The sequence below is a fragment of the Homo sapiens genome, chromosome 6 (assembly GCF_000001405.40).
Source record: "Homo sapiens chromosome 6, GRCh38.p14 Primary Assembly".
Lineage (NCBI taxonomy): Eukaryota > Metazoa > Chordata > Mammalia > Primates > Hominidae > Homo > Homo sapiens.
The window spans coordinates 13,304,951-13,330,133 of record NC_000006.12 but is presented as its reverse complement, the minus strand read 5'-3'; the positions used below and the strand labels follow the sequence as shown (position 1 = coordinate 13,330,133).

Genomic DNA, 25,183 nt, shown 5'->3' with positions numbered 1-25,183 from the left:
GCACCATCTCAGCTCACTGCAACCTCTGCCTTCCGGGTTCAAGCGATTCTCCTGCCTCAGCCTCCAGAGTAGCTGGGATTACAGGTGTGTGCCATCACACCCAGCTAATTTTGTATTTTTACTAGAGACAGGGTTTCACCATGTTGGCCAGGCTGGTCTCGAACTCCTGACCTCAGGTGATCCGCCTGCCTCGGCTTCCCAAAGTGTTGGGATCATAGGCATGAGCCACGGCGCCCAGCCAGCACCGATCACTTTTTAACACACTACATCATTGACTTATTTATTTTAGTTTTTATTGGATCTGTCCTCCCACCAGAATGTCAGTTTCACAAGGTTAGGGATCTTTGCTTCGGTAGCTGATGTATCCTGAGTCCATAGAACAGCGCCTGCACACAGTAAGTGCCCAGCCCTGGTGATGATTTTAAAGACAAGAAAAGGCAATTATAAAAGTTAGTGACCGGCCCAAGGTTTAGATGAAGTAAATGGAACTTGTGTAAGGTAACTTGAAGAACTCTGCTTACTCATGTGAACACTACCCAAGGAAGGTTTAGTACCCCAGTACTGAGGAACTAAAGATGGTGGTGGTAAGGGAGTGGGGAGGGGCATCAGTGTTTGAGTTCAACCACCACACGTTTCTTCATTTTTAAGTTCTGTCTAGCCATTATACACACATTTGTCTGCACTATAACTGGACTTCTGCACTGTTGATAGTCCTAAGTTTCCTTCAAAGCTTGGCATCCGTGTGGCTTATTTGGTAGAGATTTGAACTTTCAAAGGGACGATACCCATCATTGGGGATTTCTCTCAAACCCTGGCGGTTTAAAAACCTACTTGGGCACTGCTGCTCAGCCAGCCCGAGGACCAGGGAGGCAAGCACAGAAATAGAAAGCATTTGTAAGTGTTAGTAGCTACTTTAAAGAGTAACTCTGTTCTGTTAGACCTACTAATAACAAATTAGGAGCTTGCATTTAGCACATCTTTTTTTAAAAAAAAAACACGTTCATTTTTCTCCTATGTTATAGTGTTTTACCTGAGAGGCTGAATATACTAAGACAATGGCCAAATCTAATATAAAAATAGACCTCCAATCCACAACCTGCAGCAACCTGCCCAGAAAACCAGTCAGTTACCTACAATAACCAACCCAGGGAGCCTGCCTGCTCTAAATCAGACTTGCACTCCTCTGCCTGCCTTTTTTCTTCTCATTCGGATGGTCTTCATCTATTCCCACATACCTGGGGTGGGGAGGAAATTAGCAAAAGCAAAACCCGGGTCCTGCACGCAGGCAGCTTAAGTACGGCCCTAGGGCTCGGGTCTTCCCTAGGCAAGAACCTCGAGGGCCGGACACGGGAGTGCAACCCAGGCACGCGCCTTCGGATGGCCAGAGTAAATGGTCGCGAGATTTTGCGGGGTAGCAAGGGGCCGGGTGCCCACGGCGGGAGAAACTACACTACTCTGGAGGCGAGCCTAGCCCTTCATCCCGTCGGGTTTCACAAACGAAGCCAGAGCTTCCTGGAGTGAGGGTGGAGCTTCCTGCCCGCGCCCTCTGCGCATGCGCCCGCCCGGCGCCCGCCCGGCGACCTGGAGTTGATGTCACGTCCGGCGGCGGCGGCAGCGGCAGCGGCAGCGGCGCTGAGTTTTGTCTCCCGGGCCGTCTGGGCGCGCGCGGGTGTCCCAGGTACCCCGCCGCCTCCCTCCTTCCCGCAGGACTCGTCCCTCCTGGCCCTGGGCCCCAACGGTGCCCGCCTGCCCGGCGGTCGGTCAGCGCACAGGGCACGGCTTCCTCTGCTTCTCCCGGACCACTTAGTCTCAACCCGGGTGTGTTTGCACTACTAGAGGTGAAGCATCCATCATAGAGAGAATGGGACCTGGGGTCTTGGACCAGGGTGTTTTTACTTTTCCCATCAGGTGGACGCGCATGGGCAGGAGATATTATTTGCAGCATTTCCTCCTAGAGGACGCCTTTGTCATTGTAGTGCAATCTAAGAATGGGTGTCCTTAGACAACAGGGACCGACCAAATCGTCATGCAGCTGTTTGGATGCTTTAAAAAAATAAATCCCCACACTCATTACGCGTTTTATGCTGCTGACTTTTTTATTTTTAAGACATCTGCTCCCGAAAGCTCAGAGCCCTTTAGCATTTCATTTTCTAAACGAATCCTAATCTTTCCTGTGACTGAATCGGTTCAGAGGATATCTTTTCAATAAGGAAGGAAGCCCTCCCCTGCTCACTGGGGACGTCGCAGGGTTTTTAAACCTAAAGATTTACTCTTTTGTGCACAGACGCTGGAAGCATTTGGGTGAGGCAGTGCAGTGCTTTTTGGGAAATGCATCAGATCTTTTCTGTTCTTGAAACGCCAAATCTAACTTGGTCTTTTTTTGGATGAATTACCGCCAGTATTATGAAGGTTACTGTGAAGGAACTTGAGACCACTGAACTTTTTGAGTTCTTGCGGTAGATTTTAAATCGTTTTTCCGTCTTCAACTCTGACTTTGGGATCACTGTCAATTGGCTACATTCTTTACCCTCTTCTAGTTATAATTTAATGCGATTTATTTGTTGTGGGTTTTGAATTTCGATAGCTACACTTAATAGAATTGTGTTTAAAAGAAAGATAAGTGAGGAACTCGTGGCTTTTTACTTTTATATAACTTAATTTTTCATTTTACAAAATGCCCATTTAAAAAAAAGTAGCTAAGCAAAAGAAAGGAAATTAAAATCATCTAGAATCCTACTATCTAAAGATAACCATTGCTAACATTTTGGAATAGAGTGTTAAGTTTTAAAATACATGAAATTTGTAAAAAACAAAAAATGAAATCATAGTGTATACTGTTTGAGTATAATTTGCTTGACGTATCTTGCCTGGCTTCCATTTCACTTATTTTTTTTCTTTGCGCATTTATAATAGCTACAGAATGTTCTATTGTGCTAGGCACTCATAGGTATAGTGGGAAACCTAGTGCATAAACCTTGTGCCATCTATTTTATCAGCTCAGAGAACTTTTAACTTATATCTTGGTTTTTAGCCAAGATGCATAGGTGAGATAGTTGCAGAACTGAGTTAAAGGAAAAATTTAATATTGGGTCCTATGCAAGGGTACATCATATTGAAAAGGTGGAGAACATCATTGAAAATTATTCTAATTCTTGACTCTTTGTTTCTAGACTCACTTTTCCCCTTCGTCTTTCTCTCCCTTTCTGTCTTTCTGTGTCTCCTCCAAGAATGAAATATGACTGAGGACTCTCAGAGAAACTTTCGTTCAGTATATTATGAGAAAGTGGGGTTTCGTGGAGTTGAAGAAAAGAAATCATTAGAAATTCTCCTAAAAGATGACCGTCTGGGTGAGTACTTTTAAAAATTAATCTCATTGGTTCTCAATCACTCCACATGTTCTGAAGTAAATATTTTCTTAAAAGACATCCAGAAGCATTGGTTACTTGCTGTATTTTTTAGTGATGTGGTGAAGCAGAATGGTGTATTTTGAGAAAAGATTTTTCAAATTTATATTTCACTGAGCGTCAGAAGTTTTTGAAAGGTTTCTTAAGAAAGTCAGTAGTATTTTTTTCTTTTATTGAACCCATATGTTTTCATGTATTATCTAGGTAAATTTGCTTCTGGGTAAATTTGCGATAACTCTGGTCATGATTTTCTTTTTTTTTTTTTTTGAGACCAAGTCTGACTCTGTTGCCCAGGCTGTAGTGCAGTGGTGTGATCTTGGCTCACAGCAACCTACACTTCCTGGGTTCAAGTGATTCTCCTGCCTCAGCCTCCCAGGTAGCTGGAATTACAGGCATGTGCCACCATGCCTGGCTATTTTTTGTATTTTTAGTAGAGACAGGATTTCACCATGTTGGCCAGGCTGGTCTCAAATTCCTGACCTCAAGTGATCCACCCACCTCGGCCTCCCAAAGTGCTGGGATTACAGGCAGGAGTCACCATGCCCAGCCCATGATTTTCTTTTATGGAAATACTAAGAGTGCATTGTATATTGACATTTTAGTTTGAGCCAGTCTGAATAAGGTCTGTTGTTGACTAAAGTAAAATAAACTGAACCGTAGTTAAAGATAATACTTTATTTGCATAGAGTACTTTTAAAGTTTCTGAAACATTTCTCACCTTATCTTTGATCTTCAATTGTGCGGTCTTTGCTTTAGTATGTCTGGTATTCTCCTTTGATAAGTAGAGGAATTGAGGGTCAGGGAAGTCACTGTAATTTATTGGAAAATGTAGGGATTTGAAGGCAGACTGTACCACTTAATAGCTATGTTAGTTTGATCAAGTCATTTAACTGCTTTGAACTTCAGTTTCTGCATTTTTAGAACAAGAACTACCTAACAGGCTTGCAGTGTGAATTAAATAAACCCTGTGATTAATAACTACCACTGTTATAGGGAATGTAGTAATATATGCAAAATGCATCTCCAATGCTGTAAAATGCAAATTGTTTTTATTTTTATTATTATTTTTAACACAGAGTCTCACTCTTGCCCAGGCTGCAGTGCAGTGGCACGATCTTGGCTCACTGCAACCTCTGCCTCCTGGGTTCAGGCGATCCTTCTGTCTCAGCCTCTTGACTAGCTGGGATCACAGGTGTGTGCCACCATACCCAGCCAATTTTTGTATTTTTAGTAGAGATGGTGTTTTGCCATGTTGGCCAGGCTGGTCCCAAACTCCTGACCTCTAGTGATTTGCCTGCCTCAGCCTCCCAAAGTTCTGGGATTACAGGCATGAGCCACCGTGCCTGGCCGCAAATTGTTTTTAAATAACTTAGTTGGCAGAAGTCTTGGGCTAGAAATCAGACTAGTATTGCCTCTCCTAAACTTACTGACCATATGGTAGACTTCCCCTGAAGAAATGTCTTAACTATTCTTTGAGTTTTAAAAAATGAAATGTGCCTTGACATACTGTGATCAGCATGAAAAGCTTCTAACAATTGTTTTCTTCTTCCTCTAGATACTGAGAAACTTTGTACTTTTAGTCAGAGGTTCCCTCTCCCGTCCATGTACCGTGCATTGGTATGGAAGGTGCTTCTAGGTATGAGACCCAGGAGTTGGAAGATTTATCTTAAAAAATATTGAATGAAGGGATCATTTGCTATCTTATCAGTCAGAAAAAGGAGAATTTGTTTAGGCCTTTTACTGAATATTGGATCTTCCCCAGGAGGTTCAATTACCACTCATTATTTTCTGTTCTATTAATGATACTATAGAAGAGAAAATAGTTTATGTTCCTGAGACAAGATCTGGGAAGAGCATTGGAGTAGGAGAAATGAGAATTGGTTTAGGCTTTGCTATCAGCTGGGTAACCTGGAGGAAGGCGACCCCTCTGGGACTCATTTTTTGCATCTATAAACTGAAGCTTTTGAGCTAAATTACTCCTAGTTTTTAGCTCTAAATTTGTAAGATTTTGTGATTCTCAGCTATAGAGGTATAACTTCCTAATCTGTCAAAGAGGAATTGGAGACTTACTACTCCCTAGAAGTGTGAATGACTAAATTCCAGTGGTGCGAGTGGCTGAGTGAGAAGGAAAACTGATCTTACTTAGTTTCTATGGAAGAAAATGTGAATTAAGTGCCATGAGTAACTGGCAGCATCCCTTTTGAGCCCAAGATTTTCTTTCCCCTATCATTGCTGAGCCTGCTGGAGCATATAATTCCTATCCATTACCATCCTCCTTTTCTTTCTTAAAAAAAGTATTTTTGGCTGGGCGCGGTGGCTCACACCTGGAATCCCAGCACTTTGGGAGGCCAAGGCGGGCAGATCACGCAGTCAGGAGATTGAGACCATCCTGGCCAACAAGGGTGAAACCCCCTCTCTACTAAAAATACAAAAAATCAGCTGGGCATGGTGGCATGCGCCTGTAGTCCCAGCTACCTGGAAGGCTGAGGAAGGAGAATCGCTTGAACCCGGGAGGCAGAGGTTGCAGTGAGACGAGATGGCACCACTGCACTCCAGCCTGGGCGACAGAGCGAGACTCCGTCTCCAAAAAAAAAAACAAAAAACAAACAAAAAAAAACTTACAGTTTGTTCACTGTAAGATAGTGGCGAGTACTAAATTCCCTGAAGAATATAAACTATGATTGCTCCTTATTGGGCATCCCTGTATGCCTGTCAGTAGGCTGAGTAGTTTACATAGATTATACAGAGTAATCCTAGAATCCCTGTGAGGCAGGTATTGGTATCCTAATTTTGCAGATGGGGAAAAGACTCTCTGAGGCTAAGTAACTTGCCTAAGGCATTATAGCCTGTAAGTGGCAGAGCTAGGATTTGAGCTTACGTTTGTGGAACTCATTTGAAGGTAAGATAGATTGTGGACCTCATTTTCTTTCCAAAATGTAGTATCTTTTCAGGGCTTGAGAAGCCTGCAGCCCTGTCTGGTTATGTAATATGGAGGCAGCGAGGGAATATAAGCGGTACTAGGAAGGCCTGCAGAATGACTTGTTTCTTGTTCATCCTGGCAGTCTCTGTGCACTTTTATGTCTGGTAGGTCAACGTGCAGTTACAATCTGGAGAAGCGGTGACAACTATTTTAGTTTTTCCCAGAGCACTTTTCTTTAAATGTTACTGTTCTCCGTGCCTTCTGGGGTACATTTTAAGTGGTAATGTCAACAGTGTCGATTTATGGGAGGTGCTGTGTGTCTATTAATAACTGCAGTGGATTAATGGGAGTTGTGCAGTTGTGCTTTCCCTCACTTCTTGAGTGCTACAGCCTATCTGGCTTATTCCTCACTTCTACTCTTCTTAACCATTCTTTCTTTTTTTTTAATTTTTTTATTTTGAGACAGAGTTTTGCTCTGTCACCCAGGCTGGAGTGCAGTGGCGCGATCTCAGCACTGCAACCTCTGCCTCCCGGGTTCAGGCGATTCTCCTGCCTCAGTCTCCCGAGTAGCTGGGACTACAGGCGCGCACCCCCACGCCCGGCTAATTTTTTGTATTTTAGTAGAGATGGGGTTTCACTGTGTTGCCCAGGCTGGTCGCAAACTCCTGAGCTCAGGCAGTCCACCTGCCTCGGCCTCCCAAAGTGCTGGGATTACAGGCATGAGACACCGCGCTCGGCCCACCTTTCTTTATCATGTCATAGTTATTTTTTGAGGACAAGGCACTGGAAGTTTAGAGCTGTCGCCTGTGTAGGACACAGCCTGACTCTTCCCAGCACAGAGTTTTGATTACTTAGGGATCTTTACTTCAAATGCCTACTTCCTGATACTATTTTAGTTAAATATCAAAAAGAGACATTTTAGGACTAGCTCTTAGAAAACAGGTTTAAGGGTTAATGTGCTGCCTCTAGCAGGGTGATGAGGGTTTGGTCACAGCTGTTTAAGCTGTATTAGCCGAGATGTAGGAGACACTTTAGTGTGTTCCCTTGGCTTTTCTGGAAGCCTGGCACACAGTCTCATAGCATGAGTAAAGATTTCTTTCAGGGAAAAGAACATTTAAGCAAGTTTTTTTTCTAACATTAACTGGTATCATGTTAGCTACTATTGTTTTTGTTTTCTGGGGTGTTCTTTAGAATACTAAACCTGTGGCATTTTGCACCAAAGAGGGATTCATAGTCAAATGTACTAGCTAACACTTATACAGCTTAGTGTTTGCTGAGTACTCTTCTGAATGCTTTGTGTGTGTTGATTTGTTTATTCATCTCAACAACTGTATGATATTAGATATTGTTATTCCCATTTTTCAGATGGGGAAGCTAAGACATAGGAGATAAAGTAATTGCTAAAGGTCACCACCCAGCCAGTTAATTGTAGAGCTGGAATTTAAACCCAGGAACTTTGCTCCAGAGTCTGTACTTCTGTAGAGCCTCATTAAGTTTAATGAGGCTTGAGTAAATAAAATGTTTTTTTTTGTTTTGTTTTTTCTTTTTTTTTCTTTGAGACAGGGTCTTACTCTGTTTTCTAGGCTGGCGTGCGGTGGTACGATCACAGCTCACTATGGCCTTGACTTCCTAGGCTCAGGTGATCCTCCCACCTCAGCCTCCCACTTCAGCCTCCCGGGTAGCTGGGACTACAGGCATGTGCCACTGGACCTGGCTAATTTTTTGTAGAGACAGGGTTTCCCAAATACCTTCACCCAGTTGCCCAGGCTGGTCTTGAACTTCTGGGCTCAAGTGATCTGCCTGCCTTGGCCTCTCAAAGTGCTGGGATTATAGGCGTTAGCCACCATACCTGGCCTAAAATGTTTTTCTTTATGGCAAAACTTAGTGCCATGAAAATTCATTGTCACCATTTCCCAAATCTGTTTGATGAGGGCATTTTTTTTTCTCTTGGGGTTAGCATTCTGTGGAGAAGCATTTGGTGAAATGCTTATCCCATTTCCTGCCTCTGGCAGGTGGGGAAAACAAGTGCCCAGAAAGACACATTTCAGAGTCCTAGTATTATCCAGTCCGAGGCTAGAACCCAGGATGGCTGGTCTGTCTAGTGGTCTTTCCACTGTGTTTCCTCAGAGCCATTTGTTTGTAAAAAAGATATGACACCATGTTTAAATGGGTTAAGGAGCTTAATATGTCATAGAAATGTCCTGTAAGGTGACCTCACCAATGAAGATTAAGGACTTTTGTGACCTGGAGGATAGGATACTTAGTGAGCAAGTTTTAACTGTTGGGGAAGAGAAGAATTCAATGGGCTGTTGGTGGTTCTGAGATGTAGGGGCCAAGTACAAAGACTAGGGTGAGACCTCTAGGAGCTAAAGGCAGCCTGAGGCTGCCATAAATTAAGTTAAACCATTGTTAGGATTGATGTGGTTGCTAATCTTGAATGTATGCGGCATACTTATTCAAGGGCTTTGCCAGTGTTGTTTCATTTCTCTCTCATATCAGTGATGCATCAGCACTCAAACATTGATAATATTTCACATTTAAGATTGTTTTATAGTGAGAATTTCTAAAAGAGATTCTACATGGTACTTGAATGTCTGCGTGAATTCTAGCCTAATTGTGTGGGTCGCTTCTCACGGCATCCTCTTTCATAGATGAGGGATTTGGAGTGATGGCTCAGTATTTTGTCCTTTTTTCGTTTTTCCTGTTCTCTCTAGGAATCTTGCCTCCACACCACGAGTCCCATGCCAAGGTGATGATGTATCGTAAGGAGCAGTACTTGGATGTCCTTCATGCCCTGAAAGTCGTTCGCTTTGTTAGTGATGCCACACCTCAGGCTGAAGTCTATCTCCGCATGTATCAGCTGGAGTCTGGGAAGTTACCTCGAAGTCCCTCTTTTCCACTGGTTAGTGGTCACTTTTGTCTGACACTAAGCTCAACTCTAGACCGTCCCATCTTGCCGGCCTTTGATTACATCATGTTTTGCCTTAAAAACTTTTGGTGGCTCCCTGTTGTTATTAGAATAAAAGTGACACATCTTTACTTGGCATTCATGGCCATGCACATTCTGACCCAACCTTCTTACTTTTTGTTTTTTTAAAATACGTTTTATTTTGAAGTAATTTCAAACTTCCAGAAAAGTTGCAAGAATACTACCAAGAATTTGCATATACCCTTTACCCAGATTCTCCAGTTGTTAACATTATGCAACTTTTTTCTACATCCAACATTATTTAAAAAGTTAAAAAATAAAAAATTGTAGGTGCTAAGTAGCTTTAAGCATCTGTTTTGCTTTGTGTGCATCTGTTTTGCTTTGTTGTTTTAAAACGTATTTTTTTAAACACATTTTTTTTTTCCTAAATCATTTGAGAGTAAGATGCAGACAGGATTCCCTATTACCTCAGATTCCTTCAGTGTACACTTCCTAAAGACAGGACACCCCTGTAGATAGCCATAGTACAGTCCTCAAAACTAAGACATTAACATTGATACAATATTAACGTAATCTACCAGCTCCATTTGAATTTCACCAATAATGCCTTCACAAATAATCAAACGGTCAAAGTTCTGGGTGAGGACTGGATCCTGGTTTAGGCATTGCACTGGGTTATCATATTGCTTTAGTCTCCTTTGACTTGGGACAGTTCTGTCTTTTTTTATCTTTCATGCCTTTGACATTTTTGAAGGGCATAATCAGATGCTTTGAAGAAAGCCCCTCCCTTTAGGTTTGTCTGGTGTTTCCTCCTGATTAGATTCAGGTTATTCATTTTTGGCAGGGATACCAAGTAGGTGATGCTGTGTCCTTCTCAGTGTCTCTTATCAGGAGGCACATAGTGTGAATTTGCCCCATAAGAGGTAGTGTTAACTTGGATCACTTGGCGAGGGTGCTGCCTGCTGGAGTTTTCCGCTGGAAAGTTTTTACTTTTCCCTTTGTAATTGCTATTTCTCTTTGTGGGGAGACACTTTAAAACTGCTATGTAAACATCCTATTCCTTATTAAACTTTTGCTCATGAGTATTCTCATTTGACGATTTCTAAAAAATTTTTATTTTTTAACTTTTTAAATAATGTTGGATGTAGAAAAAAGTTGCAAAAATAGTGCAGTGTTCTGAAATACCTTCACCCAGTGTCCTCAAATGTTACATCTCATACAACCGTAATGTAATGATCAAAACCGGAGAATCACAATACTGACAGCTACTCTGTAGGCCTCACTGGGATTTTGCTGATGTCCCACTGATGCTCTTCTTCTGATCCAAGATCCAGTTCCGGATCACACATTACATTTAGCTGCCACGTCTTAGTCTTTAATCTGGAAGAGTTCTTTTTTTTTTTTTTTTTTTCTTTTTTTTGAGACAGAGTTTTTCTCTTTTTGACCAGGCTGGAGTGCAGTGGTGCGATCTTGGCTCAACGCAACTTCTGCCTCCTGGGTTCAAGCAATTCTTGTGCCTCAGCCTCCAGAGTAGCTGGGATTACAGGTGCGCACCACCACTCCCGGCTAATTTTTGTATTTTTAGTAAAGATGGGATTTCTCCATGTTGGTCAGGCTGGTTTTGAACTCCCGACCTCAGGTGATTCACCTGCCTTGGCCTCCCAAAGTGCTGTGATTACTGGCGTGAGCCACTGTGCCTGGCCTGGAACAGTTCTTCAGTCTTTGTCTTTCATGACCTTGACACTTTTGAAGAGCCCTGGCCAGTAGAGCATTTCTCAATTTGGGTCTGTCTCATGTTTCTCCATGATTAAACTCTGGTCACGCATTATTGGCAGGAATATCACAGAAGTATGGGACTCATTACTGTGCTGCTAACTTTGATCACTTGGGTAAGATGGTGTCTGTGGAGTTTCTCCACTGTAAGGTTACTATTTTCCTCTTTGTAATTAATAAATAACTGTGGAGAAGTACTTTGAGACTTGTAAGTAGCCATCCACTAATGATTCTTGCCTGAACCAATTTTTACTATGCTGATTGCCAAATGGTGATCTAACTCCTTCATTCTTTCTGCATGTATTAGTTGGCATTCTTCTCTAAGGAAGAGTTTTCCCTTCTCCTTCTTTATTTATATCAGTATGAAATTAAAGTGTTATTTGTTTGGCTAAAACAGTGAATTGTTCAAATGGATTTGCTGGAACACTCCTATTTTACAAAATTTATTTTTATTGCAGATCTAATTTTTTTTGACGTTAATGATGAGGTATCCATGGACAAACCTTAGAGCTAATAAAGATCATTTATATTTCTTACGTTTATCGAGAGAGAAGGTCCCTAAAAAATAATTGGAATAATTTAAGCAATCATCTTTAAATTTCACTTATTGGCAAAGTGAAGTTGATAGTACTACACAAGTTCTTAAATTATATATCAAATTAAATTAGATTAGGAATTGAGATGACAGGGTATAGGTTCCGCCTCACCGCTACTCAGCTTGTCTGTGTTCCAAGCTGAGACACCTTTACTGCAGCCTCAGGCAGACGTGCTTCTGAGTGTGTGTTTTGGACTCTGCCATCCCACGTCTCCCAGTCATGATCCTCATTGTATTAGTCTGTTTTTGATTGCTTATAACAGAATACCTGAAATCGGATAATTTATTTTAAAAAGGAATTTATTTCTTACAATTCTAGAAGCTGGGAAGTCCAGGATTCAGGGGCTACATCTGGTGAAGGCCTTCTTGCTGATGACTCTCTGCAGGGTCCTGAGGTGGCACAGGCTATCACATGGTGAGGGGGCTGAACGTGCCAACGTGCTCACCCAGGACTCTCTTCCTCTTCTTAGGAAGCCACCAGTCCCGTTCCTGTGATAACCCATTAATCTATGAATTGACCCACTGATGAGGGCAGAGCCCTCATGATCCAGTCACCTCTTAAAGGCCCCACTTCTCAATACTGCCACAATGGGGATTAAATTTCAACATAAGTTTCGGAGGGGACAGATATTTGAACCGTAGCACCTACTTAGCGCCCACTCTGCCTCATTTTTTAATCCATTAATAAGAGGGTGCAGCAGTGCTCATCACAGGGCCAGGAAGGACGACATGGGTCCTCTTCCCTTGACCTGTCAGTGGTCAGGAGCAGTCAGTGATATGCCACCTTTCGGGGTGCCAAGCACAGTGCACAGAACTGCACGGGAGTCCAAGAAAGGAGATTTTCCTTTCCCTTTTCTTCCTACTTATTTTCCATTCTCCTTTGACACATTAATAAAATGTTTTGAGAAAACTTATTCCCTATGATTTAAATTATGTTTTTCTTGACATTTTATAGAATATTAACAAGTTGAAAGAAGGGCTTAGAATGAAATAATACATTAAAATAACAATTTTGATTTAAGTCGGTACTTTTTAAGGGAAAGTGTGATACTTCTTAGTTTCTTTTTAACATTAAAATCCTTCAGCTATTAAATCCTAGATGAAAATGTAAAGCTTTTTGTATATGATATGGTGTTTGAAAGCAGAAGAGGTTTTCAAATAAGGTCCCGGTTTTTCTAAGATTTCTCTGTTGAAATTTACCTGAGAGTTTACTTTCGCATTCTGAGTATTGACACAAGGTTTGAGAAATGCCATTCTTTTGATTCCTAAAATTCTGATTCTAGGAACATTTTAACTTTTGTACTGCTTAAGATAGAACAAAATTCTGAAGGTATGCGTGAATGCTTTGAAATAAAGCAAATGCTTTATTAGTCTTTTTGGAGCTCTTCAATATTTGCAAATTACTGTGCTGAAAAATGTCTCCAGTTACTGATGGTGCTGTTTATTACACCCTTTTCAAAGATATCCTCACCTAGTACTGAGAATATTTTTGGGTGGAGAGAGTCAGTGACTTGCTTATGATTTATGTTGACTCTGTGAGGGGCTTAATGTTAGAAGCTGGGGAGTGTCTGTACACTCAGCCTGAAACCTGGTCATTCATAAGCAGCACTGACCCTGTAGTTACTCATCTTTTTCTCCCCCTTGCTCCCCTCTTCAGGGAGGGACTCTGTGCTTTTTGATCCTACTTTGATTTATTAATGTAGCCTTTTCAAAATTTAGGGAGCAAGGTTTCATTTTTTATTAAAGAAATATGTATTCCTCTCTTTCACTGCCTTCCTCTTGAGATTTATTATTAATCTTTCAGGAGCCAGATGATGAAGTGTTTCTTGCCATAGCTAAAGCCATGGAGGAAATGGTGGAAGATAGTGTCGACTGTTACTGGATCACCCGACGCTTTGTGAACCAATTAAATACCAAGTACCGGGATTCCTTGCCCCAGTTGGTGAGGGCTTTTTTTTTTTTTTGGCTATTGGAGAGTGAACAATGGTAGTGGGGGTCTTCAGGGAGTGCTCTTACCTCCTGGGGCTGCTGCAATTCTGAATAACCCTTTATAGTAGAACTCAGCAAGCGTTTTCTGTAAAAGTCCATATAATCTAAATATTTCCAGCTTGGTGGGCCAGATGGTCTCTATTGTAACCACTCAACTCTGCTGTTGTTGCACAAAAGCAACCTTAGGCAACGCATAAAATAATGTTCCTGGCTGGATTTGCTCTGCTGCAGGCCAGAGGTGGCCAGTCCTGCTCTATAGTATTCCTTATTCTGGTCTAGAATCCGCTGGTCTAGAGTAATCCCTCTGTGTAAGTTAAGGTTTTCATTTGGCTGCATATAATGGGAAGCCCAAATACCAGAAGCTAAGAATCCAGGCAGTGCAGAGCTGGCGCTGCAGAACCACAGTATGGAGAGGGTTGCAGACTGCTGCCATTCTGCTCCAGTATTCATAGGAATGATCTTTCCTCTCGTGCTCACAAGGTTGCTCTTGGACCAGCGGCCATGACGTCTGTGTTCTAGGCAGAAGGAAAGGGAAGGCAAAGGTAAACACAAAGGAATAAGAGGGACAAGCCAGCCACAACTGTGGCCCATTAGGCTTTCCCTCTGCATGTACAGCTGACCTTTGAGTAGTGTAGGTTTAGGAGAACTGACCCAACCCCAGCATAGTTGATACTCTGCATATAACTTTTGACTCCCCCAAAACCTAACTACTAATAACCTACTGTTGACTGGAAGCCTTACTGATAACATAGATGGTTGTTTAACACATATTTTGTACACATATTTTGTTTCCATTTTTGTTTTTTTGAGATGGAGTCTCATGCTGTCGCCCAGCCTGGAGTGCAATGGCATGGTCTCGGCTCACTGCAACCTCTGCCTCCTGGGTTCAAATGATTCTCCTGCTTTAGCCTCCCAAGTAAGTGGGATTACAGGTGCCTGCCACCACACCTGGCTAATTTTTGTATCTTTTTTAGTAGAGACGGGGTTGCATCGTGTTGGTCAGGCCGGTCTTGAACTCCTGACCTCAGGTTATCCGCCCACCTTGGCCTCCCAAAGTGCTGGGATTTACAGGCATGAGCCACCACACCCAGCCACATATTTTGTTATATGTGTATTCAGTATATTCCTGTAATGAGGTAAGCTAGAGAAAAGAAAATGTTAAGAAAATCATAAGGAAAATTAAATATGTTTTCTATTTATGAAGTGGAAGTGGATCATCACAAGGTCTTTATTCTCATTGTCTTCACGTTGAGTAGGCTGAGCAGGAGGAGGGAGGGAAGGATGGTCTTGCTGTCTCAGGGGTTGGCAGAGGTGGAAGAAAATCCATGTTTAAGGGGACCTTTGCAATTCAAACCCATGTTGTTCAGGGGTCAACTATATGTTAGTGACCAGGACTGTGTCACTTGGCTGCCCTGTCTGCAGTAGAGGCTGGGAAAGGTTCTTTTTTTAAAAAAAGCTGTGTGATCTCCTACTAAAACAGGGGCTCTGTGAGTGACATAGGAGGGGCACATGGGAGTGTGGCAGGCAGCAAGCTGTTTCTGTCATAGCCTGGCTTGGGAAGGCAGAGAACTGAATGGTACTTGCTGCATTGCACAAGCTAGTCTTCCTTTGCCACTTTCTTTTTTTCTAGTTTTTTCCCCTTATTTATCTCATTTATAAAAATAAACCTTTTTTTCTTAAATCATTGGGTTATTTCCTTTTAAAATTCTACTGAAAGTGGTAACTGTGGTACAGGGTGCAAGATGAGATGCGGGGCACTGATGATGGTTGGATGAGCATTGAGGATCACTGCAGTTAATTGTTAATAAGGCAATGTGCAAGACCCTTCAGCTTCTGAGAACACTTACAAGAGCAGTTTTTATATATTTCAACTAAGTAAAATTTGATTTTTAAGATTTTGAAATTTGATCCACTTTGTTGATTTCAATAAAAATAATTTCAGCCTGGAAATGGAGCTTAAGTAAATATGTCAGTTGCCTAATCAAATCAGGAGGTCTCAGTTATATCATACCATGATCTAATTAGCTTTTCTTATTTAATATTCGAGTAAGTCAGTAGCATTTTGATAGTTTATGCTATTCTTTAAAAATTCATCCTTTATTTTTCGTAACATAAATGGTGAATGCATTCTCAAAAGAAATTCAGCAATTCAGATGAATCCATGTTTCCCTAGACCTGGACTAACCACCCCCCATCCCTGCAATTCCCTACTTCTCCTTCTAAGAAGTAAACATTTGTCATTAGCTTGGTGTGTATTACAAGATTCTCTTATGTGCATGCATCTATGATATGATTTTCCTTTCCTTTTTTTTTTTTTTTGAGATGGAGTCTCGCTTGGTCGCCAAGGCGGGAGTGCAGTGGCGCAATCTCGGCTCACTGCAAGCTCCACCTCCCGGGTTCATCCCAGCCTCCTGAGTAGCTGGGACTACAGGCACCCGCCACCACGCCCAGCTAATTTTTTGTATTTTTAGTAGAGATGGGGTTTCACCGTGTTAGCCAGGATGCTCTCGATCTGACCTTGTGATCCGCCCCCTCGGCCTCCCAAAGTGCTGGGATTAATCACATTAAGTAGTATTATACTGTACATGTGGCCCTATGGTTCTATTTTTGTTTTTTAACTTACTGCCTTGGAGAACTTTCCAAGGCAGTTTAGACAAATCACTAGTTTTCAGTCCTGACTTCCTGTTAGTACCACCTGGGAGCTTTTAAAAATTACCATCACCTTTCCTCCACCTAGACAAGTGAAATCTGAGTCTCTGAAGGTAGGGCCCTGGAATTCTAATTTCTTAAAAGCTCCAGGCAATTCTGAAGTGTAGTTAAGGGTTGAAAGGCACTCATTTAGAACCACCTTTTAAAAAATATTTACTCCTAGCATTTCCTGTTACAAATTTGCTCTATTTAAACCTAAGAGATCCATACTGAGAGTAAGCATGCCCTTGTCCAGGCTCCCTGTGTGTATGCGTATCTCTCTAGGCTTGGTACCTACGAGCAGATGCTCAAGCAGAGGGGAGACATATTTAAAATCTATTCATTTATTTTTGACATATTTAAAATTTGAACTGCCTGGCTGCTCATCCAAAGGCCATATCAATTTATGCTCCTACCAAACAGATGATGAGATTTCCCATTTTCCACCCCATTGCCAATACTTGATAGTATCAATGTCTTACATTTTTATCCATCTGATAGTGAAATGGCATCTTATTTTAATTTACCTATCCTCAGTTTCTAGTGAAGTTGAGTATGTTTGCATATGGCTATTGTTTTGTTGACTTTTTTTCTTTGTAAGAGTTATTGGTATATAGTCACTCTTGGATCTGTAGGGGATTAATTCTAGGACTCATTGAGACAGTAAAATTCATGGGTGTTCAAGTCCCTTACATAAAATGGGACTTGCAAATAGTATTTGCATATAACCTACACATCTCTTCCTGTATACTTTAGATTACTTATAATACATAATACAATGTAAATGCTATGTAAATAGTTGTTATACTGTATTATTTAGGGAATAATGACAAAGAAATCTGTGTCTGTTCAATACAGACACAACTATCCATTTTTTATTTCCTGAATATTTTTGGCCCATGGTTGGTTGAGTCCATGGATATGAGGGTCGACTGTACCCTGGATATTTATCCTTATCCCTTACGTTTGTTGAAAATAGTTTCTGTTTGTTGTACAAAATTTTAGGTTTTGATACAATGAGATTTGCCAGCATTTTTTTTTTTTTTGCTTTTTTGTGTCTTACTGGTTAATTAGCCCTTTCCAACCCCAAGATTAAAAAAATATATATTTTTTTGTTTTCTCCTAACTTTTTTTTTTTTTTTCTGAGATGGAGCCTTGCTCTGTCACCCAGGCTGGAGTGCAGTGGTGCGATCTCAGCTCACTGCAACCTCTGCCTCTTGGGTTCAAGGGATTCTTCTGCCTCAGCCTCCTGAGTAGCTGGGACTACAGGCACGAGTGTGGCACCATGCCTGGCTAATTTTTGTATTTTTAGTAGAGACGGGATTTCGCCATTTTGGCCAGGCTGGTCTCGAACTCCTGACCTCAGGTGATCTGCCCCCACTCGGCCTCCCAAAGTGCTGAGATTATAGGTGTGAGCCACCACGCCTGGCCTGTTTTCTCATAACTTTTAAAAATGCTTAAACATTTTAAATTTAGCTCTTTGTCAGGGATTTATCTTTGGTTGGCATCAGACACATACTGGATTTCACTCTTACGCTTACCTGCAACACCACTACTTCTACCAACACATCACTCCTCCTCCTGTTCCTCTTCTCCCCGTCTGGTTGGTGTATTACTGAGAATGTACTTCATGTCAGGCAGTGCTAAATTTACATTGTTAGTGAGCACTTCATTCAAGCATATTATCTTTGTTTTTACAGATGAGGATACTGAAGCACAGAGAAGTTAAGTAAGACCAAGGTCTCAGTTAGTAAGCAGTAGAACAGCACTTACATGGTGTATTTGTCAGTTCATCCTTTTTCCACGGATTTGAAATGCCACCTTTATCATATACTGGATTTCCATATATGTGTGTGTGTATATATATATAAATACATTTTTATATATATTTATATTTATATCTATATCTCTTTCTGGACTCCTTTTTATTCCATTGAGGTATTTGTCTATTCCTGGGCCAAATCACATGATTTATTTAATACAACTTTCTAGCGTATTTTGATAGCTGATAAGGAAAGTCTCTTATTGTTGCTCTTTTTCAAAAATGTCTTGGCTATTCTTGAGCTTGCCTTTTTCTTTTCAGAAATGAATTTTAGAACCAGCAAGACACTTCATGTCCCTTAAACTTTCGTTTCCTCATCTTTAAAAATGGGGCTTCTTTTTGTGTATGCATTACAGTGCCTAGCAAGTAGTTTTAAGTAGTTATGAAGTTCTCAGAAAAGTCATCCAGAATGTATACAAAACCTAAACTTCCTTGTGTTGCTTGCTGTTTGATTTCGGCATCAAGTGATTTGCTTAAACTTTTCTCTCTAGTGAAACCATCTTTAGTCTATCTTATAACACACAGTTTAGGTTGCTGCTTAGTTCTATGGAAATGTGTGTATGATGGACAGTGATGGACTCAAAAGAAGATAATGATGCCCCTGAGTGGTGATATGTCTATTCTGCCATACTATCCTGATTCCTAGGATTGCATCATAGCCTCTCTCCTTACAAGCTTTTCAAATTGAATTCTGCTTTTTGACAAGGTCTCTCATAGTCGAGGAGAATAGAGGCCAACTTCAATTGTATGGCATGGAAGGTTTTTCTTAAGCCATCTCAAACTTAATTGTGTTAATCATTAAAGTAAGTGATCTTTGTTTTATTGCTATTGACACAGTTTTTTAAAGCTCTGCTAAAGAGGTTTTTTTTGTAAGCACTATTAGCAGCTTCTTGCTAAGTTTAATATAAATTCCTCTCAGAGTGATTAAGTACATATTTTTGTCACGTTTTGCCTTCTGTTGATGATGTATAGTTTATTGTCCTCATGAAGTAAGACTATGGGGGTCATAGAAATATTGAAAATAACCAAAATGTTTAGGAGTAAAACATAATTATGGTTATAATAAATCACATCTATCTATAATAAATCACATCTATGTTATCTATCATTTGCTAAGTATGAAAAAGGTCAGGCAATATAAATATTAGCTCCTTCCATTAAAAAATATATATACACATATGTATTTGAATTCACCTTCTTTCTTAGATGAAGCAGTAGCATACAGTACACATTCTTCCCATCTTGCTCTTTTTACTTGCTATGTACTGGAGATCATGCCATATTAGTATACAGAGATACTCCTTATTCCCTGTCATAGTTTCATACTACTGTCCTGTGTATATATTCTTAAACAATATTCTTTTTTTTTTTTTTTTGAGACGGAGTCTCGCTCTGTCACCCAGGCTGAAGTGCAGTGGTACAATCTCAGCTCACTGCAACCTCTGCCTCCCAGGTTCAAGTGATTCTCCTGCCTCAGCCTCCCAAGTAGCTGGGATCACCGGCACATGCCACCACGCCCAGCTAATTTTTGTATTTTTAGTAGAGATGGGGTTTCACCATGTTGGCCAGGCTGGTCTCAAACTCCTGACCTCAAGTGATCCACCCACCTGAGCCTCCCAAAGTGCTGGGATTACAGGCGTGAGCCACCACGCCCAGCCTACAAAATATTCTCAGGTTAATATATTCATACTGTTCTATTGTGAATATAGTTTATTCAACCTGTCTTTATTGTTGGCTATTTGGGATGTTTTCAGCCTTTTGCTGTTTGTTATACACAGTGTTACAGGTAAATAGACTTGTGCATGCAGCTTCTCATGTGTTTGCTAGTATATTTGAGTTGGATTCCCTGAAAATAGATTGGCTGGATCAAAGGGTAAATGCATAAATTACTTTGCTAAATATTGCCAAATTCCCCTTCATAGAGCTCATAGTCTTTTCCATCCTCACAACCAGTAGATTGTTTCCCTACAGCCTTGCCAACATGGTATGTCAGTAGTCTTGAATTTTTGCCATTCTGATAGGTAGGCAGTGATACTTCAGTGTAATTTTATATTGCATTTATTTTGTTGTAAGCAAGGTTGAGCATGTTTTTATATGGGTAAGAGGCAGGTGCATTTTTTTTCCCTATAGAGTTCTTGGCTTTTTTCCTTCTCCATTTTAAAAAGCTCTCTTTAGGTAGGGATATTAACCTTTTAAGATTATTCATTAACCTGGGAAAATGTCCACAATTTGAATGCAAACAGCAAAATACTAAATCGTGTATTCAGTATGAGTTCAACTAATAAAAGAAAGAGAAGTGTGTCTGTATGTATGCAGGATAGATGCTCTATAACCTAAGTATTACCAGTAGTTATCATTGGGAGTGTGATTATACTTGCTGTCTATGTCCTCTTTATTCTTTAATAGAGTTTCAAGATTTCTTATAATAGGCTATAATAAACCAGGAAAAAGGTTAAGAAATTAATTAGATATTGGCAAAAAGATGTATATTGAGCGATTACTAAGATATTGATTGATGTATTTAAAACTTTATATTAATTCACAGTATTGATTTGCTCACTCAACAGTTATATATTGAGTGCTTACCATGCCAAGTGATGTGCTAGGTACTGAAGAACCAGCAGTGAACAAAACAGATACAGTAGCTTCCCCCCGTGAGCTTATTGTCTGATAAAGGAAAAAGACAATACATAGTTTTAAAATGTTCACACATCTCCATCTTGTTTATTATTTGTACTGACTTTTGGATGAAATTTTCTTTGCTCTGAGACATAATATATAACTCTGTGTGTGTGTTTTCAACCAAGTCAATAGGAAAAAAGTGCATATATCCCCTTTGCAAAACCAACCAAATTTCCTTGTTTGGGAAGTTGTCTGCAGTGTTATTGAGAAATTCTAGGAACCGTTGAGCAGTATAGGGAGGTTGGATAAACAGGAAGAAGAGATATCCTGAAACAGAAAGGGGAAAGCTGGACCAGATATTATGATGTGGGCCCCTCTTTGCCTGGCTAACTCCTGTCTGTTCTTCAGAGGTCAGCTCAAATGTCACCTCTCCTGAGAAACTGCTTCTGCCTCCTACAGCCCAGGTTAGGATTTTCTCCTGGATGTACCCAACATCTTGTGCTTGTTCCCATCATAGCATCACAGCGTTACAGTGTATTGTAGTTACCTCTTTACTAGTATGTCTCAAGCTGTAAGCTCCTTGAAGGCAGGGATTTTCTCTTACCTTTCACTCCATTCATTGTGTGTAGCACAGTCTCTGACTATAGTGGACATTGTAAAGGTGATGAATCTCCTCTTTAACAGAAGCAGAGAGGTATAGATATTGAGTAAAATAAACATTACATTTGCTTAAGTGATGCGGGCCCTGGTTGTACTCCTGCAGATAGTGAGTGTGGACTTTAGGATTTGACTCTTAGAGCCCATTCTCAGCCAGTGGACCCTAAATATAGCAGCCAGCCTAAATATAGCAGCCAATGCAAGATGGATTTGGCCAGGTTTGGGGAGCTGGCTTTATTAGCTCTCCAGTCTTCTAGTGTTGGCTGCCACCTGACCTCATGAGAGAGGCTACCAAGTGGAATCCAGGTGCTTTGTTCCCTCTGAGTTATCCCTTGAATTCTAAGAAATTCTTGTGCACATTTATGTTGAATACAGAGTTCACCCTCTGGACATCCCTGTTGTGTGAGCCTGCTTGGCACTGGTGCACAGTGGTGCTCAATCCAGGGCAGTGTATGTATGGTCAGTGACTGGTCAGCCCCTTCTCATCACCATCACTTTTTGTCTTACTCTTCCTAATGCCCTCTCCCCACTCTAATCCCACTCTATTTCTTTGGTTTTACCTTTCCTCTTTCCCCCTTTTTTCCTTAGTATATAATCTGCTGCTCTAGACCAGCCAGTAATATAATGGGCCTTCCTTAGCTCCTCAGAACAACTGAATTTTGCTTTGGACTTTTGCCTTAGGCTGTTGAATCTGGCTAGTGAAGTTAGTATTAGGGTGACCAACCATTCCATTTTGCCTGGGACTGCCTCAGTTTTAGCACTGAAAGAGCCCTGTGTCCTGGGAAACTCCTCAGTCCTGGATGGTTTGTTACTTTAGTTAGGGCTGACCTAGGAAACTGCTGTGTCACAAGTGACTTGGATAATTCTGAAGTTTTGTTTTCTAATACTTCCTTGAATTCAGCATGTACTTTTTTTTCATCAGAGACTATAATATCAGATGATGTTATGACACAGAAAATGAATAATCTCTGTTCTTGCTTAATCTTTAGCCAAAAGCGTTTGAACAATACTTGAATCTGGAAGATGGCAGACTGCTGACTCATCTGAGGATGTGTTCCGCGGCGCCCAAACTTCCTTATGATCTCTGGTTCAAGAGGTGCTTTGCGGGATGTTTGCCTGAATCCAGTTTACAGAGGCAAGTAGGTCTTTCGAAGACATATTGAAGGCTTGGCGTTAGAGCAGAGTTCTGGCCTTTCATGTGGTCATCCCTCAGATTATAAATTTGCTTTAGAACAATACAGTAATTTGAAGCTCAGTCCTCCAGCAGCTACCGTAACAGCACATGATTCTGCTTATTCTTGAATATACAATTAGAAAAATTAAGGGCCCTCAGTGCGTTAGATGCTGTGAAGCAGTCACACCTCAAATGGTCTCCATGAGTTTATATAAGCGTCAGCCCCTTTTTTCCAGAAATGTGACAAATCTTCCTCCAGTAGAAATCTTAGTGTTAGTTTCATCATGATATCTTTAAAGAAGCTGAAAGCAGTCAAAGATTTGACTAAGTTCTTCCAGTCAGTTTCAGACATGTCTGGGTATTTCGGAGTCCAGGTGCCACCCATTAAGACTTTGTGATGTAGTAGAACAGTAACTCTTAAAATAAGTTATGGCACTGAACAGTGCAATACACAGAGAACATTATAAGATAATATGTAACTAAGTGTATGAAGTAGAATACCAACTTTTAGGAGTTACAGGAATGATCAGAATTATTATTTTAGAGTGGTTATAGATCAGTAACTGGCTCCTTACGCCCTTGGAGAAGTTTAAGGAGTCTGTCCCCAGAATCACTGGCAATGAAATTGAATTTATCCCATTTCATATACATCTTTTGTTGTCCCTTAGTAGGCTATAATTATATTAGCATTATGGCATATTAGCAGAATATAAACCATTAGTTTAGGATTTTCTTTTTCTTCCTCAGAAATGTCAGGTTCACAACATGAGGGAATATGATTTTGGTAGATTCCTAGTGGAGCAGTAATTTTTAGTAAACTTTCCTTTCTCCTTCTAGTGCTGATTGTATCTAGAATAGATTTCAAATGGCTTCTGTATTTTGTTGTTGTTTTGGTGATTATTTCATAAAAGTTGTTCTTTGAAGCTTTTACATAAAATTGGAGCAATTTGATTTTATTTTGTAATTTGAGATGTCTAGGCTAAACATAATTCTGAAACTCATATAATTTGATTATATCTCCTTATTTTTGTAGGGTTTGGGATAAAGTTGTGAGTGGATCCTGTAAGATCCTAGTTTTTGTAGCTGTCGAAATTTTATTAACCTTTAAAATAAAAGTTATGGCACTGAACAGTGCAGAGAAGATAACAAAGTTTCTGGAAAATGTAAGTGTGCTTTGATTTGATTTTGAATCTGGAAATGAAGTTACCTTAGCAAGTCAGATTTTCCTGTTACATTAGATTATTTCAGAGAAATAATTACATGATTTTAGAGAAATAATACCTTAGAATGTTTCAGAGAATAATTATAATAATGATTATTTTAGGGAAATTATTTAAGAGAAATAATAATTTGATTTGATTTTGAATCTAGAAATGAAGTCACTTTAGCAAGTGAGATTTTCCTGTTACATTAGATTATTTCAGAGAAATCATACAGTGTATTTTTACATTATAAGAAACACTTTTCCCTGAAAAAGTTTGGCCTAAAGTTGGCCTGAGGGTTAGTTTGCATCCTGTCTTTGGGAAATGATGGTCTGAGACCATCTCGTGAATGTGTCCACTTAGAACCAGAGTCTCATCCTCCATGTGACTATCAGCAGGCATGTCAGGAAAAGGAATAGGTGGGATCTGTCATTTTACAATGAGTAATTTTTGTCAGTTCAAAAGGGGTTCTGTATTTTGGAGGATTTTGTAAGCCATTTCATTTCTGTTACTGTCTCTGGTGTAGTCCCAGTTGGGTTTATTAATATACAGTATTAACCTAGTATATTGCTGAAAAAGGCAATGGTAATGAAATTAACTTTTCCCTCGCTATGTATCTTGGAATACCCTTTACCAGGCAAGAAGTAGGATTAAAGAGACTTATGCCTGAATGATTTTCACAGAATCCAAAATCTATTCATTTTTAAAATAGTATTAACATTTGAAAAATGGCCTGGTAAATTATAATAAAGTACTGAGTCAATATGCGTTGAATAAATGAATAATCATCATTATAACCAGAGGTGGCTAGCAGTGCGAAGCCTGTGCTAAGTATTTTCCATGGGTTACCTCATGTCCTACTGTGAACAGCTCTGTGAAGTCAGGCTATCATTTCCCCCATTTTAGAGATGGGGATCTGAAACCCAGGTAGCTTAGGTAACCTGCCCGGGGGTGCACAGTTAGTGAGCAGTGCAGGATTTGAACCCAGGCAGGCTGACACTGGAGCCCTTTCATGTCCTCAGGTAGCATGTGACGCAAGTCTTTTATGCTGTCACTTTCTGAAAAACAGTGCAAACTCCCATGGAAGTGGATTTCATGCCACAGCGAATGAGGGAAGACACTGAAGTTGTCAACACTGAAATTTCACAAAGACTGATTTGCTTGCCCACAGATTCCCCAGGACAGCTCAGACGCGATCGTGAGCAAGGCCATTGACTTGTGGCACAAACACTGTGGGACCCCGGTCCATTCAAGCTGAACGCACCCGCTGGTTGTGGACCGTCTGCCAGGCACCACAGTGAGCATTGTGTTCTTGGCATGTGATCTGGGAAACTGATTGAATAATACACTTTTCTTGCTTTGGTGCTCAAAGTGGTTTTTTTCCCCCAATAAAATTATTTAATTGAAA

The 25,183-nt window shown here is 40.6% G+C and overlaps 2 protein-coding genes and 1 long non-coding RNA gene across 10 annotated transcripts in view, besides 4 other annotated features; 2 read left to right on the top strand and 1 right to left on the bottom strand.

Moving 5' to 3' along the window:
- Positions 277–1,519, bottom strand: LOC124901261 (uncharacterized). The gene is made up of 2 exons (XR_007059457.1): positions 1,236–1,519; positions 277–409 (listed from the first exon to the last, which is right to left on the bottom strand). It is a non-coding gene; the product is annotated as an uncharacterized LOC124901261 (long non-coding RNA).
- Positions 1,252–1,758: an enhancer, noted in NCBI's record as "NANOG-H3K27ac-H3K4me1 hESC enhancer chr6:13328608-13329114 (GRCh37/hg19 assembly coordinates)". NCBI's record gives its function as "activates a minimal SCP1, AML or CMV promoter by ChIP-STARR-seq in primed H9 embryonic stem cells {active_cell/tissue: H9 hESC(primed)}" and the evidence as "EXISTENCE:reporter gene assay evidence [ECO:0000049][PMID:30033119]".
- Positions 1,252–1,781: a biological region, named in NCBI's record as "NANOG-H3K27ac-H3K4me1 hESC enhancer GRCh37_chr6:13328608-13329114".
- Positions 1,392–1,781: a silencer, noted in NCBI's record as "silent region_16926". NCBI's record gives its function as "represses an Ori minimal core promoter by ATAC-STARR-seq in GM12878 lymphoblastoid cells {active_cell/tissue: GM12878}" and the evidence as "EXISTENCE:reporter gene assay evidence [ECO:0000049][PMID:35858748]".
- Positions 1,597–25,183, top strand: part of TBC1D7-LOC100130357 (TBC1D7-LOC100130357 readthrough) — a 62,002-nt gene continuing 38,415 nt past the window's right edge. The window contains exons 1-8 of one of the 2 annotated variants that reach the window (NM_001318809.2): positions 1,597–1,678; positions 3,228–3,347; positions 4,960–5,040; positions 9,039–9,226; positions 13,426–13,563; positions 22,389–22,534; positions 23,607–23,736; positions 24,947–25,072. In NM_001318809.2, coding sequence (NP_001305738.1) covers positions 3,236–3,347; positions 4,960–5,040; positions 9,039–9,226; positions 13,426–13,563; positions 22,389–22,534; positions 23,607–23,736; positions 24,947–25,033 — 882 coding nt within the window. In that variant the 5' untranslated portion in view covers positions 1,597–1,678; positions 3,228–3,235 and the 3' untranslated portion in view covers positions 25,034–25,072. The remainder of the gene's footprint in view (positions 1,679–3,227; positions 3,348–4,959; positions 5,041–9,038; positions 9,227–13,425; positions 13,564–22,388; positions 22,535–23,606; positions 23,737–24,946; positions 25,073–25,183) is intronic. The other variant, NR_134872.2, reaches the window with a different exon arrangement.
- On the top strand, positions 1,597–25,183 carry TBC1D7 (TBC1 domain family member 7). 7 transcript variants are annotated; one of them, NM_001143965.4, is made up of 8 exons: positions 1,597–1,678; positions 3,228–3,347; positions 4,960–5,040; positions 9,039–9,226; positions 13,426–13,563; positions 22,389–22,534; positions 23,607–23,736; positions 24,947–25,183. In NM_001143965.4, the coding sequence occupies exons 2-8, from the start codon at positions 3,236–3,238 to the stop codon at positions 25,031–25,033; spliced, it is 882 nt and encodes a 293-aa protein (NP_001137437.1). In that variant the 5' UTR covers positions 1,597–1,678; positions 3,228–3,235; the 3' UTR covers positions 25,034–25,183. The 7 variants fall into 7 exon arrangements, with proteins under 7 accessions (NP_001137437.1, NP_001305734.1, NP_001137436.1 ...); NM_001318805.2 differs by having other exon boundaries at positions 3,171–3,347; NM_001143964.4 differs by having other exon boundaries at positions 1,597–1,818.
- Positions 21,694–22,893: an enhancer, noted in NCBI's record as "CDK7 strongly-dependent group 2 enhancer chr6:13307473-13308672 (GRCh37/hg19 assembly coordinates)". NCBI's record gives its function as "activates an origin of replication core promoter dependent on BRD2, BRD4, P300/CBP, MED14 and CDK7 cofactors, with strong dependence on CDK7, by STARR-seq in HCT116 cells {active_cell/tissue: HCT116}" and the evidence as "EXISTENCE:reporter gene assay evidence [ECO:0000049][PMID:35650434]".